At 50.1% G+C, this 26,778-nt stretch overlaps 1 long non-coding RNA gene across 1 annotated transcript, besides 5 other annotated features; it reads left to right on the top strand.

Moving 5' to 3' along the window:
- The first annotated feature begins 310 nt into the window (after positions 1-310).
- Positions 311-22,594, top strand: LOC107986454 (uncharacterized). Its single transcript, XR_001742906.2, has 3 exons — positions 311-8,903; positions 20,320-20,860; positions 21,212-22,594. It is a non-coding gene; the product is annotated as an uncharacterized LOC107986454 (long non-coding RNA).
- Positions 4,361-5,049: an enhancer, noted in NCBI's record as "H3K27ac-H3K4me1 hESC enhancer chr5:141204908-141205596 (GRCh37/hg19 assembly coordinates)". NCBI's record gives its function as "activates a minimal SCP1, AML or CMV promoter by ChIP-STARR-seq in naive and primed H9 embryonic stem cells {active_cell/tissue: H9 hESC(naive and primed)}" and the evidence as "EXISTENCE:reporter gene assay evidence [ECO:0000049][PMID:30033119]".
- Positions 6,853-7,353: an enhancer, noted in NCBI's record as "H3K27ac hESC enhancer chr5:141202604-141203104 (GRCh37/hg19 assembly coordinates)". NCBI's record gives its function as "activates a minimal SCP1, AML or CMV promoter by ChIP-STARR-seq in naive H9 embryonic stem cells {active_cell/tissue: H9 hESC(naive)}" and the evidence as "EXISTENCE:reporter gene assay evidence [ECO:0000049][PMID:30033119]".
- Positions 12,760-13,750: an enhancer, noted in NCBI's record as "OCT4-NANOG-H3K27ac hESC enhancer chr5:141196207-141197197 (GRCh37/hg19 assembly coordinates)". NCBI's record gives its function as "activates a minimal SCP1, AML or CMV promoter by ChIP-STARR-seq in naive and primed H9 embryonic stem cells {active_cell/tissue: H9 hESC(naive and primed)}" and the evidence as "EXISTENCE:reporter gene assay evidence [ECO:0000049][PMID:30033119]".
- Positions 13,751-14,742: an enhancer, noted in NCBI's record as "OCT4-NANOG-H3K27ac-H3K4me1 hESC enhancer chr5:141195215-141196206 (GRCh37/hg19 assembly coordinates)". NCBI's record gives its function as "activates a minimal SCP1, AML or CMV promoter by ChIP-STARR-seq in naive H9 embryonic stem cells {active_cell/tissue: H9 hESC(naive)}" and the evidence as "EXISTENCE:reporter gene assay evidence [ECO:0000049][PMID:30033119]".
- Positions 17,794-18,442: an enhancer, noted in NCBI's record as "H3K27ac-H3K4me1 hESC enhancer chr5:141191515-141192163 (GRCh37/hg19 assembly coordinates)". NCBI's record gives its function as "activates a minimal SCP1, AML or CMV promoter by ChIP-STARR-seq in naive H9 embryonic stem cells {active_cell/tissue: H9 hESC(naive)}" and the evidence as "EXISTENCE:reporter gene assay evidence [ECO:0000049][PMID:30033119]".
- Positions 22,595-26,778: the final 4,184 nt, after the last annotated feature.

The raw sequence follows: 26,778 nt of genomic DNA, 5'->3' as shown, positions 1-26,778 counted from the left end.
AAACAGAGGGAGAGAGGCTGGGTGCGATGGCTCACGCCTATAATCCCAGCACTTTGGGAGGCCGAGGTGGGTGGATCACCTGAGGTCAGGAGTTCAAGACCAGGCTGGCCAATATGGTGAAACCCCATCTCTACTTTAAAAATATAAAAAAAATTAGCCGGGTGTTGTGGCACATGCCTGTAGTACCAGCTACTCAGGAGGCCAAGGCAGAAGAATTGCTTGAACCCAGGAGGCGGAGGTTGCAGTGAGCCGATAACTGCACCACAGCACTCCAGCCTGGGCAACAGAGTGAGACTCTGTCTCAAAAAAAAAAAAAAAAAAAAAAAAAGAGAGGAGAAACAGAGGCAGAGAAAGACAACCTAGAGAGAGACACAACTACAGGGATGAGGACTAAGTCTGATGGGAAAGCAGGTGTGCATGGGGGTGGGGTTGTCCTTTAGGATCACTGAACTGACATTCAGCAGTGAAGCAGGAATAACATAACTTATCGGAAAGAACACACAGCCAAAGATGATTTTCCAGATGGGCCAGTCTGAGGTTTCATGAAAGCTTTTTTGCTGCTACATAGGCTGTCTGTGTAATGACAGTAGTCCATCTGAGCTTCCAGTCTGCACAGGGTGTGGGTCTGCTTGGGGTGGGGAGGAAGACAAGGTCATTGGAGTTTATCTGAACAGTCAGCAATCAGTTGCAACCAATGTCCCTACTAACAACTCATCATGTAATCCTTGCTCCAAGACCAATCTTTATCTATCAATCAATCAATCAATCTATCTATCTATAGACAGGGTCTCGCTCTGTCACCCACGCTGGAGTGCAGTAGTGCGATCATGGTTCACTGAAGCCTCGAACTCCTGGACTCAAGCAATTCTCCCACTTCAGCCTCCAGAGTAGCTAGGACTGCAGTTGCCTGCCACCATGGCTTGCTAATTTCTTCCTTCCTTCTTTCCTTCCTTTTTTTTTTTTTGACGGAGTCTGGCTCTGTTGCCCAGGCTGGATGCAGTGGTGCCATTTTGGCTCACTGCAACCCCCGCCTCCCGGGTTCAAGCGATTATTCTGCCTCAACCTCCCAAGTAGCTGGGATTATAGGTGCACGCCACCACACTCTACTAATTTTTGTATTTTTAGTAGAGATGGGGTTTCACCATGTTGGCCAGGCTGGTCTGGAACTCCTGTCCTCAAGTGATCTGCCTGCCTTGGCCTCCCAAAGTGCTGGGATTACAGGCGTGAGTCACCACACGTGGCCACCTCTGGCTAATTTTTGTACTTTTAGTTGAGACAGGGTTTTGCCGTGTTGGCCAGGCTGGTCTCAAACTACTGGCCTCAAGTGATCCACCCGCCTTGGCATCCCAGAGTGCTGGGATTATAGGTATGAGGCACCACGCCCGGCCAATTTCTTTTTTAATTGTAGAGATGAGGTCTCCCTATGTTGCCCAGGCTGTTCTTGAACTCCTGGGCTCAAGCAATCCTCCTGGCTCAGCCTCCCGAGTAGCTGGGATTACAGGCATGTGCCACCATGCCCTGCTAATTTTGTGTTTTTAGTAGAGATGGGGTTTCTCCATGTTGGCCAGGATGGTCTCAAACTCCTGACCTCAGGTGATCCACCCGCCACAGCTTCCCAAACTTGGGATTACAGGCATGAGCCACCATACCCGGCGCTCCTCCTTTCTTACAGCTACATAGTCATTCAGTTTATTTATCCAGTCCCTTACTGATGGACATTTAGTTTGTTTCTGATATTTTGCTTCGCAAACAAGAACATCTAATACACTTAGTGCACATGTATGAGTGTTTCTTGAGGATTTATTCCTAGAAGAGAGATTGCTGGCTCAAAATATGTATGAATTTTTCATTTTGAAAAATACTGCCAAGTTGGAGTGGAGAACTTTTTTCTGTGAAGGAGCCCTCCATCCCTAGAGCTGAACCAGTGATGAAAGGCACTCCGGGTAGAAAGAGCATGGACTTTCCATTCAGATGTATTTGGGTTCAAATCCCAGTTCTGCCACCTTTTTCCTGTGTGACCTTGGTTAAGTCACTTAACCTCTCTGATTTTCTGTTTCCTTAACTGCCCAGTGGAAATAGTAAGAGCCGCCTCACAAAGCTGTTGCAAGGATCAAATGGCATCTTGTAGGTCAATCCTCTAGCGTGGGCCTGGTACGCAGTAGGCTCTTGGCCCATGTTAGTTTCCTTTCCCTGACTGAACCCTTTTCTGCATCCATCATGGAAGACAAGCTCTGGGGAGTGGCTGGGGAAGGTGATTTATTAATGAACGTCACACAGAAGTCAGGACTCCACAGTGGCTCCTTCTAAAGGTCACCTCTAAAGGCAACTCTTAGAGGTAAGGACCATTTCACGTAAAGTTGTAAGGATCTGCTTTTGAGAACATAGGCTAGGGTGCCGACAGAGATCAGACCTTACTGGAGGACCTCTTCCTAAATGATCCCTTCATCCCAGACACTGCCCTCCATGCCTCAGTCTCTGCAGAAGAGGAGAAAGAGAATCCTCCTCAACAAGAGGAGGGTGGCTGGCTTTTACACAGGGAGTGGCTAGACTGGTCTCTTCGCAGAGAATAGAACCAGAAAACAGACATCAGACAGACTGAGGTCGGGCAGCAGGGTGGCATTTCTGTCTTGGACACACAGCATGAGTGTGAGGGAAGCAGCAGGGTGCCCCACTGGAGGTCCCTACCCAGGATGGCCTATCCATCTCCGTGTCTTGGTTCAGCGGGAGAGGTCTGGAAATCCTTTGGAGGTGGTGGCCAGATTGCATCCATAGTCCCAGCCAGACCCTCAGCAATGCCAAGAGCCTCTTAGCTGCAGGTCACTGTGCTCCACTGTCTGTAGGCCACTGCCCCACCTTCAGGGCTATAGTTTCTTTCTTCTGGAAACCACACAGGACATGAGAATCCCAGACTGGGCTGCCCTTCCTGGAAGAGGATGTGTGTGTGAGCCCAGCAGCCGCTGTGATGGGGCCCGAGGTGGTGATACTGGCAAAAAAAAGGGGGAGCTAAGCAGCATGGTGGTAGCAGTGGTGACAAGGCCTCCAGTACATGTAGCCATGATGAGTGACACTCAGTAGGGTAGGCTGTGGTGCCTTTATCCAGAGTCTAAATGCTTGCTTTCAGTTCCACCTCCATATATTACATGCTGTGTGGCCTGGGGACAGTAGCTTTCCCTTTCTGACCTCGGTTTCTTCATCAGTAAAATGAAGATGCTAATACCACCTGTCCTGTCTTCCTCAATGTCTCCAACCAGCAGGTGCCTTTAACATGCCACGAGGCAAGAGTGAACTCAGGTGGAGGTACTTTGCTAAAAGCAGCCCAGGTAGGAGGAGATGACTGAGTAGAACTGGCCGTGTTATCCTCAGAATGATTTCTTGCTTCCCCAGGAGACTCCTGTTGCTGTGACGATTTTTCCTGGTTCTCAGTCCCTGGACTCTGGGATAGCTGAGATCTTCTGGCTCTCGCCTCACATAGCATCTCACAGTGATGTCCTGGCTTCCTGCCTAGGCCCCAATCACCAGTTCTGGTGCTGACCCTGCAGGTCCTAGCTCCCTCCCAGCCGGCCTAGAGACAGGGCCCAGGCTCATTGGAAGGAACAACAGGAGACTTGCCTGAAAGCCAAATGTTCTACCCAACAGGACCTGATTATGGTGGCCAAGGGGCTGTACCTGGGCAGTCTCACCCAAGGGACACTTCTCAGGGGTCAGGAGAATTTCAGCTCTGTGTTTACACATGATTCTAGGCTGAGGGAGAGAGAAAAAGCAGGGTAGGGGGTGGCAGATTAGGCGAGGGAATGTGTCCCCTAGATGGTCCCTTAGCTCATAGTGGAAGTGGGCTCTAGAGCGCCTTGCCCATGCCCTCTTCATGCTCTAGAGAGGTGGGCAAAGGACAAAGTATGCGACTACCCAGGAGAACCAGCCTCCAGATTGAGATTGGAGATGAAGGCCACTCAGTCCCCTCCATTGCAAAAAGAATAAAAGAAAGGAGTAGGATTGGCCATTGCTTGCAAATAAACAGGAGGGGGCAGTGTTGGGGTAATGACCTCCATCCGGGGAGGGTCAGGAAGGGAGCTGTCCTTTACTGGGCACCCAGGAGATGCACCTGTACAATTTCATTCATTCTCACGACCACCTCGTTAGGTAGGCACTATCTCTGTGGCTCCATTTGGCCAATGAAAAGGATGAAGATCTGAGAAGTCAAGTTACACTGCTAGGAAGAGGTTGACTTGGAGTGGAAACCCAGGACTGCCTGTCTGACTGCTGAATGGGTGCTTTGCGTTCCTTACCTGCCCTCCCAGGGCTCCAGACCGTCCCTCCTGCACATCTGCCTCTCCCAGGCCGTGCCTGCATGTCCCCAGCCCCCTCCAACAGCTCCATCTCCCGAGAGCTCCTTGAATCTCCTCACTCACTCCTCACTCTTGCTTCCTCTTTGGAATCCAGCCACAGGCTTTTTTCTTCCATCTGAGGGAGAGAAAATGGTCTCGTTCCCCACCCCCAGGTCTTTCCATCCTCTCATCCATCCAAACCTAAGCATCTCTCACTCCTCCCCTCCCCCTCTCTTATTTTTTTTTTCTTTCTGTTTATCCATCACTAGAATCTACCCCCCTTCCCTCTTGCCTGTAGGTTCTGTGGCTATAAACAAATCATAACTTTTATTAAATTTAAGATTACTTTTTAATGGAATCAATTTCTTGTGTGGTGCTTCTCTGCCTGCCCGCGGGCTCTGCCGGCTCTGCGCTCAGCATCCCCACCCGCACAGTTGTCTCTGCCGCTGGCGTTTCTGGCTAAGCTGCCTCTGAAGGAGGGGCAGGTCTGCCATCCCTAAACACACACAGAGAAACACACACACACATGCACACACTCCCACACACACACGAAGATGCACCTTCCTGCAAGGCCCAGACACAGAGCCGCCAAGCCCCAGGTGCCCACACTGAGCGGCAGGGAGTGGGAGAGGGGCAGGGGCAGGAGGAGAGAGCTGCAGAGAGAAAGACTGAGGGTGCAAAACAAATGCGGAGCCGAGCAGACATTTCTCAGCCTGTTAATTTCCTACAGTTCTGTTTTCCAGCCTCAGAAACAAGCTGGTTTCTGCCAGTCCACCCCCTTCCCTCTGACTGCATTGTGCAGCTGCTGAGCAGAGAGAAGTTGCAGGGAGGAGGGGGTTCCAGAGGAGAAGCGAAGAGACTCAGGTTTTCATACGATTTATCAAAGTACAGGCAAGATGCAGAGATGCTTCTGAAGCTGTGACCCCAAAAAGAAGCTCAACTGGGAGATTTGCAGCCTGGACCAGTCTAACCCTACAGGTCTGGGCTTCAGGAAGAAGGGAACCTGGGGGTGCTGCAGGGAATACTTTGGAGGTAGGAGAGAAAAGAAAGAGGGGTTGGAGGGTCACTTTGATGGAGGGAGCAGGGGCTGGGAGAGGTATTGGGGGAGTTCTCAAAACGAGCTCATGGGGGGCCTAGAGATGAGGATTTGCAGACTCAGCAAAGACTTGGCTGCCTCCTTGAGGCATCGGCATGGCTCTGGTCTCTGTTCCAGCTTTTCTGGGAGTATCCCTGGACACTCTTAGGTAGACAGGAGATCATGGGTGGGAAGGTGGATCTGAGGCCTGAGGGTGGCCCCCCTTGGCCCACTACACTGTCCTCAGCACACATTGTTAGTAAACTGAGTGTCAGGCGGGAGACCTCATGTTCATCCAGGTACATGTTGCAAAGCTCAGTGAATAAGAGCACAGCCTTTGGAATCAGAGAGGTCCACAAATCTAGACTCTGAAGCTTTCTAACTGTGTGACCTTGAATAAGTGACCTAACTTCTCTGAGCCTGTTTCTTACTCTGAAATAAGGATTCAGTAAAGTGATGCATGTGGAACATCTAGCGTAAAGCCTGACAGAGTAAGAGTTCAAGTGGATTGCTAATATTTGTATTATATCTTCTAAGCACCAACCAAATGCACACACATAGCCCATGATCCCCCGTGCCTAGGTTGATTGGGACCAGGCAGGCCTCCGCTCTTGGATTAAATTCAGGCTGGGACCAGAGACCATGTGAGTGACAGTTCCCAGGATTGGAATTCAGGACACAGCAGGGCTCTTCTCCCTCCTTCAGGTGGAAGAGTGGCTGAAGGGCTTGTCAGGAGAAGAGGTGAGGGACTGATGAAGCCCCCTGGGTACTGAAGGCCAAACTCCATTCCTTACCCCTGATTTTCAGGGAGCAATGAACCTGAAGCCGGGTTTCTTCTAGGGCAGAATAAAAGGAAAACATCCTGTGGCCAGTTCCTGCCCTGCAGCCTCTGATAGCCTCCTGTTGGCTTGGGGGACTTTAGAGGGCTCTGACATCCTTAGACAAGGCCTAGAGAAGGGGGTCTATAAAGATTTAATTTGGCACAGGGCATGAGTGCCCTTTCTATCCCTCCTGTCCTTTAACCCCAGGGGGTAGGAAAAAACTCAAGAATGCAAACAAGGGGCAGAACTGGAAAAGGCTGGTTCTGGTAGTGAAACCCCTCATGTGCCCAAACTTGGGAGCAGATGCCAACATGGCTGCAGTCACAGTACAACCAGGATCGGCGGCTCAGCCCCATCAGGCTGTACTTTGGAGCCCAGCCGCTTCCTTGGAGAGAGGGACAGCTGGAGCCTCCTCTCCCAGGCAAGAACTCACCTCTCATCTTTCTATTACCCCTAAAAGGAGGCTGTTTCAACGGGCTCAGCAACTCCCTCGGTTTGACCCCTGACACAAGCATGCCTGCTGAATCTACACCTGGACCTAAAGACTTGTAGAGTCCTTTCTGGGGCTGGATGTTCCCACAGGACAATTACCAGTCATGCATACAGAGCTTTGCTGCCCAAGGGGACTTTCTGAGGGCTGAATATTATTTACTTCAACTCTCCTTTGACAAGGCACCTGAGGCCCAGATGGGGAAAGTCACACAGGACTGTGATGGGGCCTGATCGAGATCTCCTGAATCTTCCCAGTGCTGCTTGCTGTGCTTTGTGGCCCTTCCTCTGGCTGTAACTGTAATCCCACCTATACCTTAGGTTGCACATGCTCATACAGCGCTTACCATGAGCCACCCTCTGAGGCAGGTACTGTTATGATTCCCATTTTACAGCTGGGGAGGCTGAGGCTCAGAGAGGTTAAATACTTCCCTAAGCTAGTATGTGGTCGAGCTAGAATTTGAAACCAGAATGTCCTGCCCCAGAATCTAGACTCCTAACCACTGGGCTGTGCTACCTCTCTTCTCTGGAAGCTTCACCTGTACCTGGACACATTTACCTTCACTTTCCTCTTCTCCTGTCCTTAGCTTTCACCACCACCTTCACAATTTCTCATTTCAGGCTAAGCCAGATAATCACCCCAGACACAAGGGCAGGCTCAGCACTGCTATCAAAATCCCTTTTCCTTTTATCTTCTCCATCACCATCTTAGCCTTATCGCGTTCACTATCATGATCAACTTCACCATTTATAAAGTCTCTAATTGCAAATGACTGTGTACCTATAGACCAATGCAGATCTAACCCCTGCCTTGGGATGGGAGGATGGGGCTTACAGTCAAACCAAACAGCAGTTTAAGCCACATATACTCCTCCCTTTGTAAGTAAAGGTACGAAACCAGAATGTGGAAGGCAGTCTTCTTCTTAAGAGATTTTTCTGCAATAAGATGGAGGTGGTGAAGGAGAAGTTTCGAACAGCCAAAGAGTGCCTGCTGAGGGAAATTAATCAATGGCCAAGAAGATTGCTTGTCATCTTTCAATATCTATAAGAAATAACGAGCCTCCAGAGAGGGAGCTAGAGCTCCAAGGGAAAAGAAGACCAGTGGGTACTCTGTCCAACTCATGCCTCTAAGGAGCTACAGGAGAAAGATGGAGCCATAGGCAGCTTCCACCCCTTTGGATGGTGGCCAACACCCATCTCCCCAGCCACAGTATCTCTCACAGCCCCTGGGGAAGCCAGAAGCAAGCAACACTGCCCAGGAGTTTTAAAACTGATTCTTCCCTTAAGCTCAAGTCCCACCCACCTCCCAACCCAGTGAGCTTGCTGGTTGGCTGTCCATGAGTGTTGGCTGCCAGATGTGCCATCATCCGGCACAGGATGTACAGGAAAGAGGGCAATGGCTTCCCGGACCAGAGTCTCCACCCAGAATTCCAGCCAAGGCCCCAGAGCTCCCAGGACCTGGAGAATTTGTTCCCCCTGGTTGTGTTTGGAATTGGCTGGTTTTCTGGGCACCAGGCCCAGCTCAGTTTAATTTTTGTTTATTTTTATGTACAGATTCTCTTCTGTTTGGGGATGAGCTTTGTGTAAATTATTATTATTTATATGATAAAGAATAAATCACACCAAATAAAAAAACCCACAATCTCTTTTTCTCAATAGAATTACTAAATTAGGGGCTGAAAGGAACAGCCGATATGCTGGGGTTTGGTTTCAGGAAGGCTTTGGACATGGATTCTCGCAAAACGTCTTAGTAAATGGGCTCTGTTATCCTGGATTTGATGCTACCCACAGTCCGCAGAGGCATAAGGGGCCTCCCAGAAAGATGGCAGTGGTTCAGGCCTAAGGGTGGCTTCCTGGCCCTCCAGACATCCCACCCCTGGAGAGATGAGTCGGGCATTTTGAAGTGATTCGCTAACTCAGAATGGGGAAAAAAAGGGAAAACAGGAGTTGGGGATTCTTGCCAGAACATGATCAAATGCCCTGAACTGGGGTGGGGGTAGGGTTCATAGGAGTTACTTGAATAGTGGCATTATTACATCAGGGAAAATGAGCCAATCATTTCTTTGCCTATTCATTAAATTTGCATGCTAAGACTCTATTGGTTGGAATGAAATGAGTCAGGAGGCAGGGATGCAGATGGGCAGAGGACCAGCTGGGCCTGGAAAGTGTCCCCAAGTGGCCCCCATCCCAGCCAGGGTAGGGAGAAGACCAATTCACCAAAAATACTGCACCCTCACCCCCTATCATCCACCTTTGGATAAAATTCTGTTTGGGAACTAGAGAAAGACACACCCAGGGCAAGAATCCATCCTGGGGCTAATATCCTAAAGACCAGATAGAGAAAAAAGTCAGCAATAGTTGTTTTTTGTTTGTTTTTGTTATTTTTGTTGTTGTTGTTTTAAATCTCCTAGGACCTCAGGCTACCAGAGATTTTTCTTTTTTTTTTTTTTTTGACGAAGTTTCGCTCTTGTTGCCCAGGCTGGAGTTCAATGGCGCAATCTCTGCTCACCGCAACCTCCGCCTCCCGGGTTCAAACGATTCTCCTGCCTCAGCCTCACGAGTAGCTGGGATTACAGGCATGCGCCACCACGCCTGGCTAATTTTGTATTTTTAGTAGAGACGGGGTTTCTCCATGTTGGCCAGGCTGGTCTCAAACTCCCGACCTCAGGTGATTCGCCTGCCTCAGCCTGCCAAAGTGCTGGGATTACAGGTGTGAGTCACCACACCTGACCAGCTACCAGAAAGTTTTAAAAAACATCTAGGCTGGGCGCGGTGGCTCATGCCTGTAATCCCAGCACGTTGGGAGGCCGAGGCGGACGGATCACTTGAGGTCAAGAGTTGGAGACCAGTCTGGCCAACATGGTGAAACCCTGACTCTATTAAACATACAAAAAATTAGCCGGGCATGGTGGCGCATGCCTGTAATCCCAGCTACGCAGGAGGCTGAGGCAGGAGAATCGTTTTAACCTGGGAGGCGGAGGTTACAGCGAGCTGAGATCGCACCACTGCACTCTAGCCTGGGCCACAGAGCGAAACTCAGTCTCAAACAAACAAACAAACAAAATCCATACACACACAGAAAAACTTCTGGCACCGTTGCCTATCAGCTTTTTCTCAAACTGTGTCCTCTTCCTAGAATGGACTTCTCCTATCTTCCCACCTAAGTAAGTCCTACCTTTGCGTCAAGGCACAGCTATAGCCATTGTCATGGTGGGGTCCCAGAGCAGGGACTCTGGCGTCTCCTCTTGAGCTTGAAAATCTACTCTGCCGCTTAATAGCTGTGGAAAATTTGGGCAACTCGCTTAATCCTCCCTGAGCCTTAGTCTCCCCATCTGTAAATGGGATAATAATAGCAATCACACATACCCAGAGGCTTAAGAGTGAGGATTAAATCAGAAAGGTCACATGTAAAATGTGCTTACACAGTAAGTGCTCTATTAAAGTGGTAGTTATTTAGAATGATACTCTAGTAAGCTATCCCAGAGCTCCCCAACTGGGAATTAACTGTGTCCCACTCTGACATGTACCTTGGGAACACAGGGATTCCACCTTTAGGGTTTCTGACTAAATCATTTTTCACAGTCTGCCCTGAATCAGCTATTATGTAATGAATCTGGCAGTCCCTAGCCAAGCTTTGCACTTAGTAGGTACTTGCTAAGACAATAAATGCTTGTTTAAAATATTGCCCACCTAGTCAAATTCCCAAACCCTGTAAAACCCCACTAAATTCTAATCTATTTGTCCTGAGTCCCACACAATGCCTGGTTCAGCCACTTCCAGTAGAGTGGGAAATGGGGAGCAGTGGAAGATGGGCTGGGGCCCCAGGAGGAGAGGGGAGATGAGAGGTGGGAAATAAATGGAGCCTGTAAGGGGTTTTACTGTGTCCAGGCCACATGGATCAATCTGTTTTCACTGCCCCTCCATAGGGCACTTTAAATTCCACCCTCGTCTTTGATTAACCAATGGCTGACCTGAGACAGGTCTGCTTGTGCAGGTCCTCATCCAGCCAGAGGAGGTGTATATTGATTAGCTAGACTAGGGCAATGAACTGTACAGGCTCTGGATTGCCTAAAAGGCCCCTTGAGAGGTGGTCCTTGTGGGCGAGGGAAATCTCTGAGTCACCGTGGGTACTCATGCACTTGCCCATGAATAACCATACATTTATATGTGTATGTTTGTGGGTAAATACTGGCCCTTTTATCTTGGTGTGTATTCAGTAATTCATTCATTTGTTCATTTATTATTTATTGAGGCCCTACTGTGGGCTAGCACAATGCCGACGCTAGAATGTGGTAGTCGCTAAGGCAAAATTCCTGCCCATACTGAGCTTTTTTTCTAGCGAGTGGAAAGAGTAACAGTAAAGCAAAGAAATTAACAATTTAGTTTTAGATCGTGAAAGTGCTGTAAAAATAATAAAACAAGATAAAGGGATAGAGAGCAACAGTGCATGTAGAGGGAGCTCCTTTAGGACGAGTGGTTTGGGTCAAGACCTAAATGATGAGAACAAATCAGCCTCAGAAAAAATCTGGAAACAGAGCATTCCAGGCAGAGGGCACAGCAAGTGCAAAAGCTCGGAAGAATTGCTTTGGGCCAGTGACTCTAGGAATCTGTGTCATTCTGAGGCAAATGTCAATCAGCTTTTATTGCACGTACACATTTGTATCTTTCCATTGCTGTTAGAATCATGCCAACCTCCTCACTGAGACCTACAGTCTTACAACCCCACCCACTGGCCTCCAATCCCATTGGCTTCTTCAGGTCCTTGAATAAGATGGATTCCCTCCTGCCACAGGATCTTTGCACAGTCTGATCCCATCACCCTGCATACTGTTTCCTCCCCTCTTTCCAGAATTAAATCCTTTTTTCTTTCTTTCTTTCTTTCTTTCTTTCTTTCTTTCTTTCTTTCTTTCTTTCTTTCTTTCTTTCTTTCTTTTTCTTTCTTTCTCTTTCTTTCTTTCCTTCCTTCCTTCTCTTTCTTTCTTTCTTTTTTTCTTTCTTTCTCTTTTTCCTTCCCTCTCCTCTCCCCTCCCCTCTCCTCCCCTCCCCTCCCCTCTCTCTTCTTTCCTCTCTCTTCTCTTCTTGCCCAGGCTGGAGTGCAATGGCACGATCTCGGCTCACCGCAACCTCTGCCTCCCGGGTTCAAGCAATTCTCCTGCCTCAGACTCCTGAGTAGCTGGGACTACAGGCATGTGCCATCACACTCGGCTAATTTTGCATTCTTAGTAGAGACGGGGTTTCTCCATGTTGGTCAGGCTGGTCTCAAACTCCCGACCTCAGGTGATCTGCCCACGTTGGCCTCCCAAAGTGCTGGGATTACAGGCGTGAGCCACCGTGCCTGGCCTTTTTTTTTTTTTGAGATGGAGTCTCACTCTGTCACCCAAGCTGGAGTCCAGTGGCACAATCTCTGTTCACTACAACCTCCACCTCCCAGGTTCAAGTGATTCTTCTGCCTCAGCCTCTTGAGTAGCTGGGACTACAGGCATGTGTCACCATGCCAGGCTAATTTTTGTATTTTAGTAGAGATGGGGTTTCACCATGTTGGCCAGGGTGGTCTTGAACCCATGACCTCAGGTGATCCACCCACCTCAGCCTCCCAAAGTGTTGGGATTACAGGCATGAGCCAGTGTGTCCGGCCAAATCCTACTTTCTTTAGCTCTCAGGAAGCCTACGGTGGGTCACCCTTCTACCTTCTACACTAGATCAGTTTCCTTTGTTAGATGCTTTCATATTACCAAGTTCCTATAGTCAACTTCTTATCTTACTTAGTAATTATGCATTATCTTATCTGATATTAGTATCTGACTTCCCACCAGAATTACAACCCTCTGGGAAAGCTGGTTATCTGAGATTTTTTTGTTTGTTTTTTGAGACATACTCGCTCTGTTGCCTGGGCTGAAGTAGAGTGGCCCGATCTTGGCTCACTGGAATTTCTGCCTCCCAGGTTCAAGCAATTCTCATGTTTCAGCCTCCAGAGTAGCTGGGACTAGAGGTGCCCGCCACCACGACAAAGCTAATTTTTGTATTTTTAGTAGAGACAGAGTCTCGCCATGTTGGACAGGCTGGCCTTGAACTCCTAGCCTCAAGTGATCCACCTGCCTTGGCCTCCCAAAGTGCTGCGGTTACAGGCATGAGTCACATTCCCAGCCTGAGGGCTTGTTATCTTACCTGTGTAACTTATCTGTATCCCCTTTATACAGGGGAATATATTGACAGCCTTCAAATGTGTTCTATGTTCAATATATTCAATATATTCAGTATATTCAAAATATATTGGCAGCCTTCAAATTCTGCGAGGCTGTCACATTGCAGAGGAAGACCATGTTAACATAGGAGCAGGGAGGTGAAGAAGTGGGTTGTTAAGGAGAAGTGGGTGGGGTTCCTTCTAAGGAAGGTCTTATAAGAATGAGAAGTTTCAGGGGTAGAACAGGTGCCTTAGGAGGTAGTGAGTTCCCTGTCCTTGGGGGTCTGTAAGCAGACAGGAGAATAGAGGGAGGTGCCCCAGGGAGTCTTCATGTCAGCATCAAGGTTCTGTGATTAGTAGTCCACCAGCTGACCAGGTCCTTCAACCCCAACGCAGCTGTAACAATGGGAGCCCCAGGTGCTGAGTGGTGCTGGGTCTGACCCAGTGAGATAAGCGTCTGACTTAAGGAACTTGGGGGTGGACAGGGTCGTTCCCAGCTTCAGACTCCATCAGGGACTCTAGGTGGCTGCTGCTCCCCCTCCTTTCTGCCTAGCTCTGAAAGGGCTAGGAAGGAGGGAAGGCAGCGGGTGGGGGTGGGAGGAGGAGCTTCCGCAAGTCTTAAGTGGCTCCCCAGCTGGAGCTATGGTGCATATTTTAAGTGGAGTTTACAGACAATGGATCTCTCTAGGGCTTGGAGGGGAAGGAAGCAGAAATTCAGGACCATTCTGTGAATTCCCAAGTTCTTTGTGTCCATTGTGTAGGGAACAATGCTGTTTGTTCGGCACATTCACTCAAGATGGGGGATGGGGGGAGATGGTTAGGCCCCAGTGTTCCGAGGTTCTTCGAGGGGCGGGGCTGCTCGGGGAAGGGGTGGATGGAAGCTGGAGGGGCTGGGGGTGAGCCTTAAGGGAGGTGAGGATTCCAAGTCTGGTTGTGTGGGTTTGAGCTCCAGGACAGCTCCCTTTAGTACAAATATTGCTTCCCCTCTACACCTCTCCACCCTTCTCCAGAGATTCTAATCCTCAGAGGCTTCTGACCTTGATGTGTTGTCCAAAGGGTTGGGTTGGGGGGCTGAGGAGGAGTGAAGCTGTCTGTTCACCAGGTAACCTTGGACAAGCCACTGCCTCCCGGAGGCCTCACCCTCTTGCTCTATTTCCACAGTTGAAGGGCCAGCTAGAGATGGTCTCTCACAGCCACAAAATTAGGTCCCTTCCATACCACATCCTCAATCTCACCAAGCCTGGGCTCCTTCCTGACTCTCACCCAGTAAGTTCACAATCTTGGTTGCCAGTGGAGGCTGTATATCCCCAGAGTGAGGGAAATGAGAGATGAGGCCAATGTAGGGCCTAGAACCTCACTAATAAGAAAATCTTCACTTACTGGTTAGTTAGCAGCTGCTGGACACTGTGCATACATTCTCTTATAGGGCCTGGGATTAAAAGCTCTGCTCCTAGCCAGGCACAGTGGTACTGCACACCTGTAGTCCCAGCTTCTTGGGAGGCTGAGGCGGGAGGATTGATTGAGCCCAGGAGTTCGAGAACAGCCTGGGCAACATAGCAAGACCCTGTCTGTTAAAGAAAAAGTCCCATAGCTGGGTCACCTTAACCACCTTAACATCTCTGAGCCTCAGTTTCCTCTCTGTAGGATAAACTAGATATAGTAATAATAATATCTACCTCACTGGGCTGTTATGAGGATTAAACGAGATTACATCTCAAGCACTGTCTCTGGAAGGGTGGTAGAGCTTATAAATATTGGTCATATACCTATATATAATTACTATCTCCATTTTTCATATATGGAAAGCAAGTCTTGGAGAAGGTAGGCATCACACAGTGAATAAATTAGGGCATGATAATTCAAATCCAGGCTGGTTGATTCTGAAGCTGAGTTGCTGACCATTGCTCAGCACCTCCTGCAGAGATGGGATTGATGCCTGTCCTGACTTTCCAACAGCACCTGCCAATGGTCCAAAAGCCAAGTTTCCTTCTCCCAGCAGGAGAAGTTGCATTGTTTAACCAGGGCTGGAGTCTGAGACTCCCCTCTAGCCCTTCCCACAATCCTACTGTAAATTAGAGTCCCCTCACTCCCCAGTGACCTCTGCAAGGTAGTGTCTTATGCTGGAGGGGCACCAGAGTTAGGGACAGGAGCAGCCTCAGTACTCCTAGGCTGAGTTCCAGAGCCCAGTTGTTGCACCTGGCCTCTGAGCTACAGTTTGGCTGGTGGCTGGAGACCTGGGCCTGGAGGCTGGGACCTGGCCCTGCTATGCTTGGAGCCATAAGGCCATCAGACAGCCTGGCTAGGTCTTGGATCTCCACAGAGATAGAGCTGGGAGAGGCACAGATCCATGAACTGAGACAGATCTGGGAATGAGAGTAGACACTGGAGCCTTGGAGTTGGGGGGTCCACAGGTTGGCAGAAGGCACTGAGCCATGGCTCCTTCCCATTCCTGTCCTACCCCTCATCCACCTTAGTCCTACTCTTGCCATCCATTTCTCTCTCTCTGGTTTTGGGTTCTCCATTGAATAAGAAGAGGAAGAAAAAAAGGGAGAGAACTGGGGGAAGGGGTGTCCACTTTGCCAATGTGAAGCAGCTCTTGTTCTATGAATGAAGGTGATGCGGGTTCAGGGTGGAGGAAGGGGGGTGGAAGGAAGTGCTGGGTAGGGCAGCCTGGGATGGGGTTGCCATGGGAACGGCAGCCTGTCAGGAGCCCTGCCTTCAAAGCTGAGGTGCCTCCTGGGGGAGGCGGGTGGTGTATGCGTGTCTGGGGTCGGGGAGCAGCTCTGATGTAAGCCCCCTGGGACTCTAGCTCCTGGATTCCAGATCAAAACCTTAACCTGGGTGGGAAGCAGCATCATGCGATGCTTCCTGTCAGACAACCCTCAGCCTCAAACCCTTTTCTGTGGAATGTAAGGCAGGGATGGGGGTGGAATCAACCCTGGTGGGAGGCGGGCTGTGATGGAAGTTGTCTGCCAACACTACCCCCTTCATTTCAAATGGGGCAGGAGGGAAAGGGGCTCTTACTGGGTGGAGGGGAGTAATGGGGAAAAAGGGGGTTTGCTTCATTCTCTAGGCCTCGGTTAGGGGCCAGGCTCCACAATGACAGTTTCCTGAGGCATCTGGCTCCAATTCCTCAGAGAGCTTGGAACCTAGGAATAGGGCTCAGAGGGAAGGAAGCCCACTGGGCTGTTTGTGAGATCTCCAGCTGCCCTCACTCCCATCCCACACCACCGCTACCATGACCCTCTGGCCACTAGGGGGGGCCATGGCCCAGCATCCATGGGGTTGAGGGACAGGTCAGTCCAGAGACCCAAGGTGGCCCAGTAAGGTAGTGTGGCTGAGATGTAGCCTCAGTGGCATTTGCCTTTCATGAGGTTGGCCCAGCTCATCCAGGCCCCAGCAAAACCTGAGGGCCTTTAGAGGGCACTCAACACCCTGGCACTGCCAATTCAGTCCCTCCTTCTCAGCTGCCCAGGCAGACCTTTCCAGAGACCACCAGCCAATTCAAAACAGCTCTCAAGTGCCTACTACTCGCCAGCACTGTGCTAGGCATTGCCAGCGATTTTGAATCTAATGGGGGAGATGGACACTAACAGAGGCTTAAAACACATGCACCGAAGTCAGGAAAACCTGGGCTTGAATCCTCACTTTACTATTTCTAACTGGGTGAGTGACCTTGTGCAAGTTACTTAATTTGTGTCTCAGTTTCCTTATCTGTAAAATGATAATAGTACTGGAGATGCAGGGAGCTGTGAGGAGGATTAAATGAGAAAGCATGCTTAAGGCCTTTGCTGCAGCATCTGGCACACAGGAAACCCTCACTAAAGGGAACTATTGTTAGTAGGTGAACCAAGGTGCTGAGTACTAGCATGGAGGTAGAAGCAAAGTGACGAGCAGTCCTGGAGAAAATAAAAATTCAATCTGGGCTGGGCATGGTGGCTCACACCTCCTAGAACTTTGGGAGGCCAAGGCAGGAGGATAGTTTGGGTCCAGGAATTCAAGACCAGCCTGGGTGACATAGAGAGATCCTGTCTCTACAAAAAAATTTAAAAATTAGCTGGACATGATGGCACGTGCCTGTGGTCCCAGCTGCTCGGGAGGCTGAGGTGGGAGGATTGCTTGAGCCCAGGAGGTCGAGGCTGCAGTAGGCCATGATCATGCCTCTGCACTCCAGCCAGGGTGATGGAGTGAGACCTTGTCAAAAAAAAAAAAGAAGGAGGGCTGGGCATGGTGGCTCACGCCTGTAATCCCAGCACTTTGGGAGGCCGAGGCAGGCGTTATCACCTGAGGTCAGGAGTTTGAGACCAGCCTGGCCAACATGGTGAAACCCTGCCTCAACTAAAAATACAAAAATTAGCCGGGCATGATGGTGGGTGCCTGTAATCCCAGCTACTTGGGGAGGCTGAGGTGGGAGAATCACTTGAACCCAGGAGGCAGAGGTTGCAGTGAGCTGAGACTGCACCACTGCACTCCAGCCTGGCGACAGGGTGAGACTCCATCTTAAAAAAAAAAAAAAATAGAAAACGAAAAAAAAAGAAAATTCAATGTGTTGAGATTATCAGGGAGGGCTTCTTGGATGTGGTGCCTGATATGGGCCTGAAGGAAAGACAATATTTCTATAGCAGGGTTGGTAAGGGCTGTAGCAGGTAGAAGGAACTCCAGGAGGAAAGGCATTTAGGAACCTTACTTTATTTCATTCTTGCAGCACAAAATGGCAGCCCTATGTCTCCCTCCTGGGGCGTCTCTCTCCTACATCCCTATTTCCAGAGGCTCTCCCACCCACCTGGAACCCTGCCTTGGGCTCCCTCCTCCTGCTCCTCCTCCTCTTCCTTTCTCTTTCACTCCCACTCCTATTCATCTTCTTCTTCCTCCTTCCTTCTTCCCTAGAGAAGCCAGCTCAGAGAGAGCACGTTTCATAAACAGTGACCACTGCCCTATGAGTGCCTGGACCAGTAGCTCTCACCCAGGGGTGGTTTTTTCCCCCCAAGGGACATTTGGCAATGTCTGGGGACATTGGTTGTCACAACTAGGGGTGGGGGGATGCTGCTAGCTTCTAGTGGGTAGAGGCCAGGGATGCAACTAAACAATCTACGGTGCACAGGACAGCCCGCACAACAAAGAAGCACCTGGTCCCAAATGTCAATAGTGCTGAGGCTGAGAAACCTTGGCTTAGGCAGAGAACTGCAGCTGGGGAGAAATGCAGCCCCCTGCCCCGGGCTCCTCCAAAACCCCACCCCAGGAGTCCCTGATCCCCTTCCCCAGTCTCTTCCCATCTTCTAGTCCAACCCTCAGTGTCCCCTGGCCTCATACTACCCACCACTCCTGCGCGTCTGCCCCCTCTCCTCGGGTCTTGTCCCCGCTCTTATCCTCTCCCACCGCAGGGGCTGTGGAAGGCCTGTCAGGCAGGAGTCAGCCTGCGGCTGCACGAGGCTTCGGAGACCAAGCTGCCTGCTGCACTCGGTGCTGCCTGTCCACTGATTGGCCGAGGCTGCCGTTTCCATGGTGATCTACGGCAAAGCCCAGGCCCCCCCACCCCCTTAGCCCCCGCGACAGGCCCTATTCAGTGGCGAGAGCCCCGACAGTCAGGTTAATAAAACAGGAGCCGCGTGAGGAGCCGGGCTGTGGGCCGAGGTCCCAGCGTGGTGGCCCGCCCGGAGGAGAGGGGGACGGATGGGGGCAGGGAGCGAGGAGCTTGCTTGCTGCCCAGTCGCCGCCCTCCCCGACTCTGCCAACTGCAGGTTATGGGGCTGCACCAGCTCTCGGGGACTTGGGGTTCGTCTCCTGGAATGCACCTTCCCATAGTGGCCTCTGGGGGCAGTGTCCCCTCCCCCATGGGTTCCACTGGGCCCCTCTAATCAGAAGGGTTGGAGTTCTGGGGCTGGGGCTGAGGAAAGGGAGAGATGGAGATGGGGTAAAGAAGAAAAATGGCAGGGAAAGACTAGAATGGGAATCGGGTGGGAGACTGGGGTGAGATGGGGATGGATGGGAGTGGAGTCCAGGTTGGGGATGGAGAAATGAAAAGGGGAATGAGGAAGGAGATGGGAATGAGGCCAGGGGGAGGAAGGGATGAGTTGGAGGAAATGGAAGGTAGAGACCTGCGCATGGAGAAGAGGCTGGGATGGGGAGAGGGAGGGAGCTGGTGGAAGGTGCAAGGTGGAGAGGAGCATGGGATGCAGGAAGAAGGTGGAGATGAGAAATTGGGATGGGAGCTAAGATGGAGTGAGATGAAGAAGGATGGCGTGGGAGAGAGGGTGGTTAAGAAGGGTACGATGAGGGATAGAGTGTCTGGGAAATAGGCACAGCCTCTGACTAGCTCACCTCTATGCCCAGCACAAGCGCTCAGGAGGTGTGTGCTTGTCACATAGTCCGTGCTCACACGTGTTTGTGGATTGAATGAATGAGGTGAGAAATGCTGGGCTGTAGCGGGAGAACTCTCCTGCTGGAATCAATGCCACACCTCTTCCTCAATATCAACACTGAGTGCTCACAGTGGAGTCTGTGCCAAACTCCTTCATGGATGACCCCATTTAGTACTTTCAATAATCCTTTGAGGCAGGCACTATTACTATTTGACAGAGGTCCAGAGAGGTTGAGTAACTTCCCCAAAGTCACACAGCTCTGATTCTTGCCTCAGATACGGTGGGCATATGGTCAGCTTCTGTGTCTGGACCTGAGTATTTCTGGCTGAAGACCCAAACCATGCAGATTGGTGACTGGGGAGGGCAGGGAGTTCTGTGTCACAAGAGCCCAAGAATGGAGCCCGGTTGTGGTGCTGAGTGGAGTGGCAGGCTCCTGGATTGCCATCCATGACTCTGTTTTCCTGGCTGGTGGAGATGCTAGGTCTGCTGTTGCTTGGTGCATCATTGTAGTTGCATTTCCATATGACAGATGCAGAGACCCTTAGGAATTCTCAAATGCTGTCTCTGAGGTCATTCATTTTGAGACAACGGGGAAGCCCAGAGTAGTTGCCCCAATGTGTGGAGTGAAAAGGGCTTTGAAATAAAATAGTATAGTCCAGTTCTGCCATCTGTATTGTGGCCTTATGCAGATGATTTAATTTCCCCAAGCCTCAGTTTTTCCATCTATAAAATGGAGACAATAGTACCACCTAGGGTGATGATACAGATTACAGTGAGATGATATCTATGGAACAACTGGCACAGAGAAAGTTCTCAGGAAATGTGGTTCCCTTCTCGCCAGGGTGCCTTTGCAGATGCTTCTGTTTCTCCTTCTGGGAAGTGTGTGATCCATCACTCCAGGACCCAGAGGGGAGAAGGAGAAAGAAGGGACTCCTGTCTCCCTGAATCTGTGTTGTCACCACCTCCAGAGGACTAAACATGAGAGGGGGAAACTAAACTTTATAGGCTTAGAAAAAGAAGCAGAATGGGTAGGTCCCATGCGGTGAGGATGCTTCTTCTTTTGTCTCCTCAGAAGGGGTTGATGGATCCAGGCTGAAGAAATGAGGTGGGGTTCACACCCCATAACTTCTCCCTCCACTCTAGCCCTTCCCACCCCCAGCCTGAGCAAGAGTGGACCACTGAGAGAGGCCAAGCCTCTGAACCAGAGCCAGAGCCTCTCCATCCCAGGCTGACCAGCTGGCTGCTACCCTTCCAGCCTGCTCGTGGCCGGTCAGTCCAGGCCAGTGGCTAGGAGCCCAGGCCTGGAAGGGCAGAGGCGGCTGCAGCAACCTGAGCACTCGATAAACCATTAATTCTTAATAAACGACAGGCTGTGCATTATTTAACAATAATGATACTTTCTGTTCCATTATAGATTAAAACACCGGCCTCTTCTTATTAATCCTGCGTTTCAAAAGCTTGTAAATCCTGCACAGCCGGAAGAGATAAAAGCCGGCTCATCCCCATCCCAGGGCTGACATTCTTGCACTGACAGTGGCTCAGCGGCTCGACTTCTGTATGCACACGCGTGTGCTCTGGGCCCACCCACCACCCAGCTGCACCAACAGCTGCAGGTGCAGGGCTACCGCCACTCTCCACCTTAGCTGTGCTCTCCTTCCCTCAATCGCCTGTCTCTCATTTTTGTTTTTCTTCCTCAGCATTTTTCTCTGATTTTTTCCCCTTTTTCTGTTCATCTGTTCTTCTCTATCTTGCTTCTTCCTCTCTTTGTATCTCCCTGTTTTCTCTGTTTCTTCTTCCTCCTTTTCCAATCTCCCCCCCTCTCTCTCTCTCACACACAGACACACACACATACATACATCACCTGCCTCTCCATCACCTGACTCTCCTTCATCTTCACACCATTCAACCAAACAAACCTGCAATATGCACAGACTCTATCTCCATATGGTCTTTGCTTTTTTCAGGGGTCCTCAGAGGGATGCGGTGGGGAGAAGGAAGATAATTCCATAGAGAAGGAAAAGAAGGAGGATCACAGAGAAGAAAGGCAGAAGCAGAAAACCCGAGACCAAACAGGCTGAGTAGTTTCAGAGCCCTCTTGGCAGACTCTGACAGCCACATGGAGAGCACCTATTGCAATCCTCAGTGGATGCTCAAAGCCCTTCTGTATTGCCCTCAGGCTCTATTTACATACTCCCAGGGACAGGGAGCTCACTGGCTATGGAGGCAGCCTTTTATATTACTGCAAAGAGAGCTTCTTCAGTAGGAGTTCATATTCACTTTCAGCCTTCCTTTGGCAAATGCCAGACCTTTGGAAATCTGAAGGCTGCCATTCCAGCTTCCTGATGACACCTTCGGTCTCAAGCTAACCTTCCCCATCCTTCCTCCAGGCCTCATGCGTCAGTGGGCTGAGCCCTTCCTTCATCCTAGTTCCCCTGCTCAGTGCCACCGGGGTGTGTCAGAGAACCAGTAAAGGTGGCTCCAATGCTGACCACAGTCCTTCCTGTGGTGCAGCCGGAACAGAGGCCAGCTAGGCCCTCCTCTCATCTGGGGATCAGAAACCATTACTGAAGGTTTGAGAAGAAAAATCACAGTGACCTTGAATGTCTCTCCCAAGGTCATTGCAAAAAATAATATCTGTTGTCATTTATTGAACTTTTACTATACAGTAGGTACCCTGTTTACATCCCTTATCTTGTTCAATCCCATAAGAGTTGTTCCATTATTATTCCATCTTGCAGATGAAGTAACACTTGGAGTGATTAAGCTAACTTGGCCATGGTCACACAGCTAAGTAAGTGGTGAAGTCAGAATTTGAACCTGGTACTGACTCTGAAGCCCTTGCTTTTAATCTGTGGATGTTCTCCCCAGCTATTTGGAAACAAAAGTGGTTTTTTTAGTCAAGTGGGCCCCCAAAGTCAGAGAGACTGCTGTCCGTGAAGCTAAAATATTTTCTCCAGGATTGGACTAATGGTTTCCCACCATGGGCTTTCCAGGTGGGGGTAGAGCTGGGGTAGAGATCTCTGGCATTTTGGTTTATACTTGCTGGATATTTCTTTAGGTCGAGGAGGAAGACAGTGTTCATAACACTTACTGAATATTCCATCTGCCAGGTTCTATTCATCTGTTTTAATCTTCACCATGACTCTGTGCAGTGGATGCTAGCCCCATTTTAAAGAGTAGCAAACTGAGGCTCCAAGAGGTTAAGTCACTGGCATTTATGCTTATAGCTTGTGAGTTTTGGAGCTTGTCCGTGATGTTTCCTAAGAGGAGATGAAACGGAACACTTACTTTTATGGAATGAGGTGTTGCCGGATTTTTTTTAGAAAGGGCAGGTGCGTGTGTGTGTGTGTGTGGGGGGGGGGTGGGGGCGGTGTAAATGGGAGAGGAATAATCTTCAAGAAACACAGAATTGGGGAGGGGAGCTGAGCGGCTTTCTTCTTTTTTTGAAATGCACAAATGGGAAATTTAACTTGATCCCCTGTGGCTTCTGGGCCAACCCCTGAGTGAAGTCGGATCACTTTTGCAAAGGAAAATTTTATCCGTTTTTTGGCTTTTATGGGGCTTCCTCAATGAGCAAAACCTCTCCTGTTGGTGCTTAGAGAGGATTTCTCTGCTTGGCCTACGGTGATGCCGTGTAATCTCCCAAAAAATATGGTGCTAATATTCGCCGGGTTAGGGTTAGTTATTTTTATGTCTTTGTCATTTTGTTTCTCGGCAGCTCTTTCTGCTGCCTGGAAAGGACGTGGCGGACACTTTACTTCCAGAGTCATATTTTTTAATTTGATCAAAGCAAATTTCACTCGTTCTCTGTATAAATTATTTAACTCATTTCTTTTAGGTTAAATGTCTCAATAGAAAGATAGAAAGTCTTTCCATCACATTTTCTTCCAGGATTTTAATCAGCTCCTGTAGATTGTATGAACTTCTTTCTCAGTCCTCCATCCTTCTCTGTCTTAAGTCTCTCTCCCTTCCTCCCTCTCTCTCCCTATCTGCTCTTCTCCGGCCTCTGCCCCCAACTCCTCCTGAGTCCTGGGGCTCAGCCCCAGCCTCCATTCCCTTATGGCTCTGGGTGGGGAGAATGGGGGCAACTTGAACATGCAGGGCTTTAGGAGCACACACCAACCCCCTTCAGTTGGATGAGTTACCAAAGGCACCCTTCCTCTGAGCTGACCCAGCCCACAGCCCTGACAGCAGCGTCAGGGCTCAATGGCAGGCCCTGCTTGTCCCCCTCAGCCAGATCTCTGTGCACAACCACAAGCTGCTGCTCCTGCCTCTGCCAAGACCTGTGCCTGCCCGCCCCCCGCCGCACCTGCCCAACTCCCATTTCCCCTCTAGGGCTGCAGTCTCAGGATGAATTTAAATGTAGCAGCCTCTCCCCAAATTCCAGCTGTTTCCTAATAAAAATTCCATCCTACTCAATCAATGCTCCTTGTCACAGGCCAGGTTTCCTTGTGTCTTATTTCACTCTGGTCTGGTTCCCTCGGTGCCAGGGCTCCTCAGGCAGACCCCTCCTCCTTAGAGGCTTGAAGCCTCCCTCTGACAATAGTGCAGGGCTGGGGATAGAAGACCCGGGCAGAGGTTTTGGGGTTAAGTGGGGTGCTACAGAGGACTCCCTCCAGGGATGGGCTTGGGCTCTGTGGGGGGCCCCTGCCTCCCACCTTGGCAGCCCCATCTCTGGCCCCAGGCACTGTCAAGGGAACAGAAAGCAGCAGGGCAAGCTCATTACCCGTGAACACTCTTCCTTCCCTCATATCACATTGTTTCAGCCAAGAACAAGTCTCCAGTGGGAATTCCCTTTCGTCTTACTTTTAAAATATACAGTAATTAACAAACTAATGCTATTAACTGCAACAACGAGGAAATTACAGTAAAATCACTGCAGAGTCCACAAGCAGTGGGTGTAGGGACCGGTGGGTCCTGGCTCTGTGTGGAGGGGAGGGACCCAGTCTGGGCCCAGGTGTCATCATCTCAGCCACAGCAGGGCCCTCTCAGGCTGGGAAACTTCTGCCAGAGCTGGTGAGTCCTCTGCAGGTCAAGCCAGGGCTTGGACACAGCTACTTCATTTCCTGTGCAGGAAGAGTCAGGATCCCGGTCATTCTTCCAGCCCCGGAGGTTTGCTCTTTTATGAAACACTTAAATAATAGAGCTGTGGCCCAGTGCTGACCTGGGCATGTCTGTGAGGACATGGCCCCTGCTTCAGGGTCACCGTAGGTTCCGACAAGGCCTCCAGAGGATGAATCTCAAAGAAAGCCTCGGGGAGGGACTGCTGTGCCTCCGCTGCCTCCTTCTCTGGTCCTGCGGAAGCATCTTCAGGGTCTCCCTGTCCATCCTTCTGCCTTCCTTCCAGCACAGTCAGGCTGTGCGTCCCTTCCTGGGGTTTTACTCAGGTACAGCCAAAGATATCAGGAAGGACTAGGCCTGTTGTTGCCTGATTGCCTGGAAGTCTGTTTCCAGTCTGACTTCAGTCTTTCATGCTGTAGTCCTCTGTAATTTCCTCTGGTGAGTTCCCAGCAAGCCTAGTTGATAAATTCCAGGATCCTCTCCCACTCTTGCCTCTTTCCCTCAGGTTTTACAATCTCCCTGTCAGTCCTTAAATCCTCTTCCCCCATCAGGGAGCCATGGTCACCAGAAAGAGCAACCTGTTCTCATTTTCCCTCTCTAAACTTTCTCCCAGAGGCCACTCATTGCCTTGCATACCAACAAATGTCTGCTCAGAACTTTTAGAAGTTCTGTTCAGATACCCACAGAGAAGTTGCATGCTTATCCCATTTTACAGATGAGGAAAACAAGGCTCAGAGAGGTTAAGTGGCTTGTTTGAGATCACATAGCCAGGCAGAAGCATCGTCAGGACTAGAACTGTGGTTATGTTTTCTGCAGGTTCCCACCTTCCTTGTCTCTTCTTGGCTCTTAAGGGAACAGATACTCCAGGGGAGAAGAGATAAACCTGGCTTTCCTTTATCTCCGTGGCCATGCTGGCCTGTGGAGGTGAACAAAAAATAAAAAGATAGCTCATCTCATGTTTCTCATTACGACAGCCAGCATTATGAATTGTGCTATCATAATGCAGATTGTGTACACAGGGAAACTGAGGCTTAGAGAAGCACAGAGCTTTGCCCAAGGTCACAGGGCTGGTGGTGACCAGAGTCAGAACTTAAACCCAGTCCTGTCTGCCTGCAGAGCCCACCCCTGCCCTTAGCCACTCACCTGAAGGGTAAGACCCAGCCCGACTTGAAGTCCAGCCGGGCTGAGTGTGGAGTCCGAGAACCTCATTAGGAGTGAAGCTGCCACATGTGTCAAAACCCCTGCCAGCCCCACTCCAACTTGCAGCACACAGTGTAAACATCCTTACTAATTCACCAAACTCAATCACGTTACCGGGATGGATTTTCCCATCATTACTCCTGAGTGAGTGACAACCTGCTCAGACACTTGCCTTCCCCGCTGCCTTGGGAGAGTCTCAGAAATCAGAATGCTTCACTCCCTAAGTTGATTTCAACTTGTCCTAAAGTCATTTTAATTGGTGAAGTGTCAGAGGCAATTTGGGTGACTTTCTGAGAGCCCCTTTGCACCAGCACTGGGCTGGCAGGGAGCAGGGCTCGAATGCTCCCTCCACACTTGGTGGGGACTTTCCCCTCTGCTGACTGGTCAGGAGGCCGTGCTCTGTGCTTTATTTTCATGTTTCTTGCTGAAGTTCCTCCGGCTGTTTCCTGAGAATAACAAGATTCATTTTCTCAATGGCTCTGACAGATAGGATTGTTATTGTTATTACACTCATATACCACCTTTCCTCCAAGGAGCTTAAGGCGCTTTACAAATTTGAAAATTATCTAATAATCTTTCAGCAACCCTGAGAGAGAGGGAGAAGCTGCAGTTAGAGGCACTGCAGTGCAGCCAAAGGGCGTCCACACTCCTTGCCCCGACCAGGGAGGGTGGGCATGTGGCCATGTTTGGGCTGCGGACACTTGGGGCTTGAGGCCTCCTGTGGCTCCTGCTGAATAAGGAAGAGGGAGATGCCTTGCTGGGAGGAGAGAGAGAGAGAAGAAGGGAGGAAGGAAGAGAGGAAGGGAGGGAGACAGACCCAGCTCCAAAGGACAAAATCCAATGGGAGGGAGCTCAGGCAAGGAGAGTTTTCTTTAAAGACACAAGAAATGAGAGGAAGCAGGAGGCTCCCAGGGGCTTGCGGGTAGGATAGCTGAAATTCAAAATGGAAATCTACCAAAGCAGCAACTAGGCTGGTTGCAAAGGACCCAGCTCAGGCATGAGAACATGGGCAGAAATATCAACAGAACTCAAATTGCAAATTTAGGTGGTTGCTCTGAGGTGGGTGTGGGAAGCCTCTGTGGACCTCCTTTTTTTTTTCACCTGTGAGCTGAGAGGTATGGCATTAGGTCTCTGCTAGCCTGACATCCTATGATTCTGTCTTCCTTAAAATTTCCTCTTACCAGAGGTGCCCATAGTAATTGCAGCACCTTTACTAAGCGTGAAGGGAAAGCTACTATCAAAGTGACAGAAGGGCTCAACTGCATTGCCA

Source organism: Homo sapiens, chromosome 5 (assembly GCF_000001405.40).
Source record: "Homo sapiens chromosome 5, GRCh38.p14 Primary Assembly".
In the NCBI taxonomy this organism is placed as follows: Eukaryota; Metazoa; Chordata; class Mammalia; order Primates; family Hominidae; genus Homo; species Homo sapiens.
Note: the sequence above shows the minus strand (reverse complement) of the source record. Positions and strands in the feature narration are given on the sequence as shown.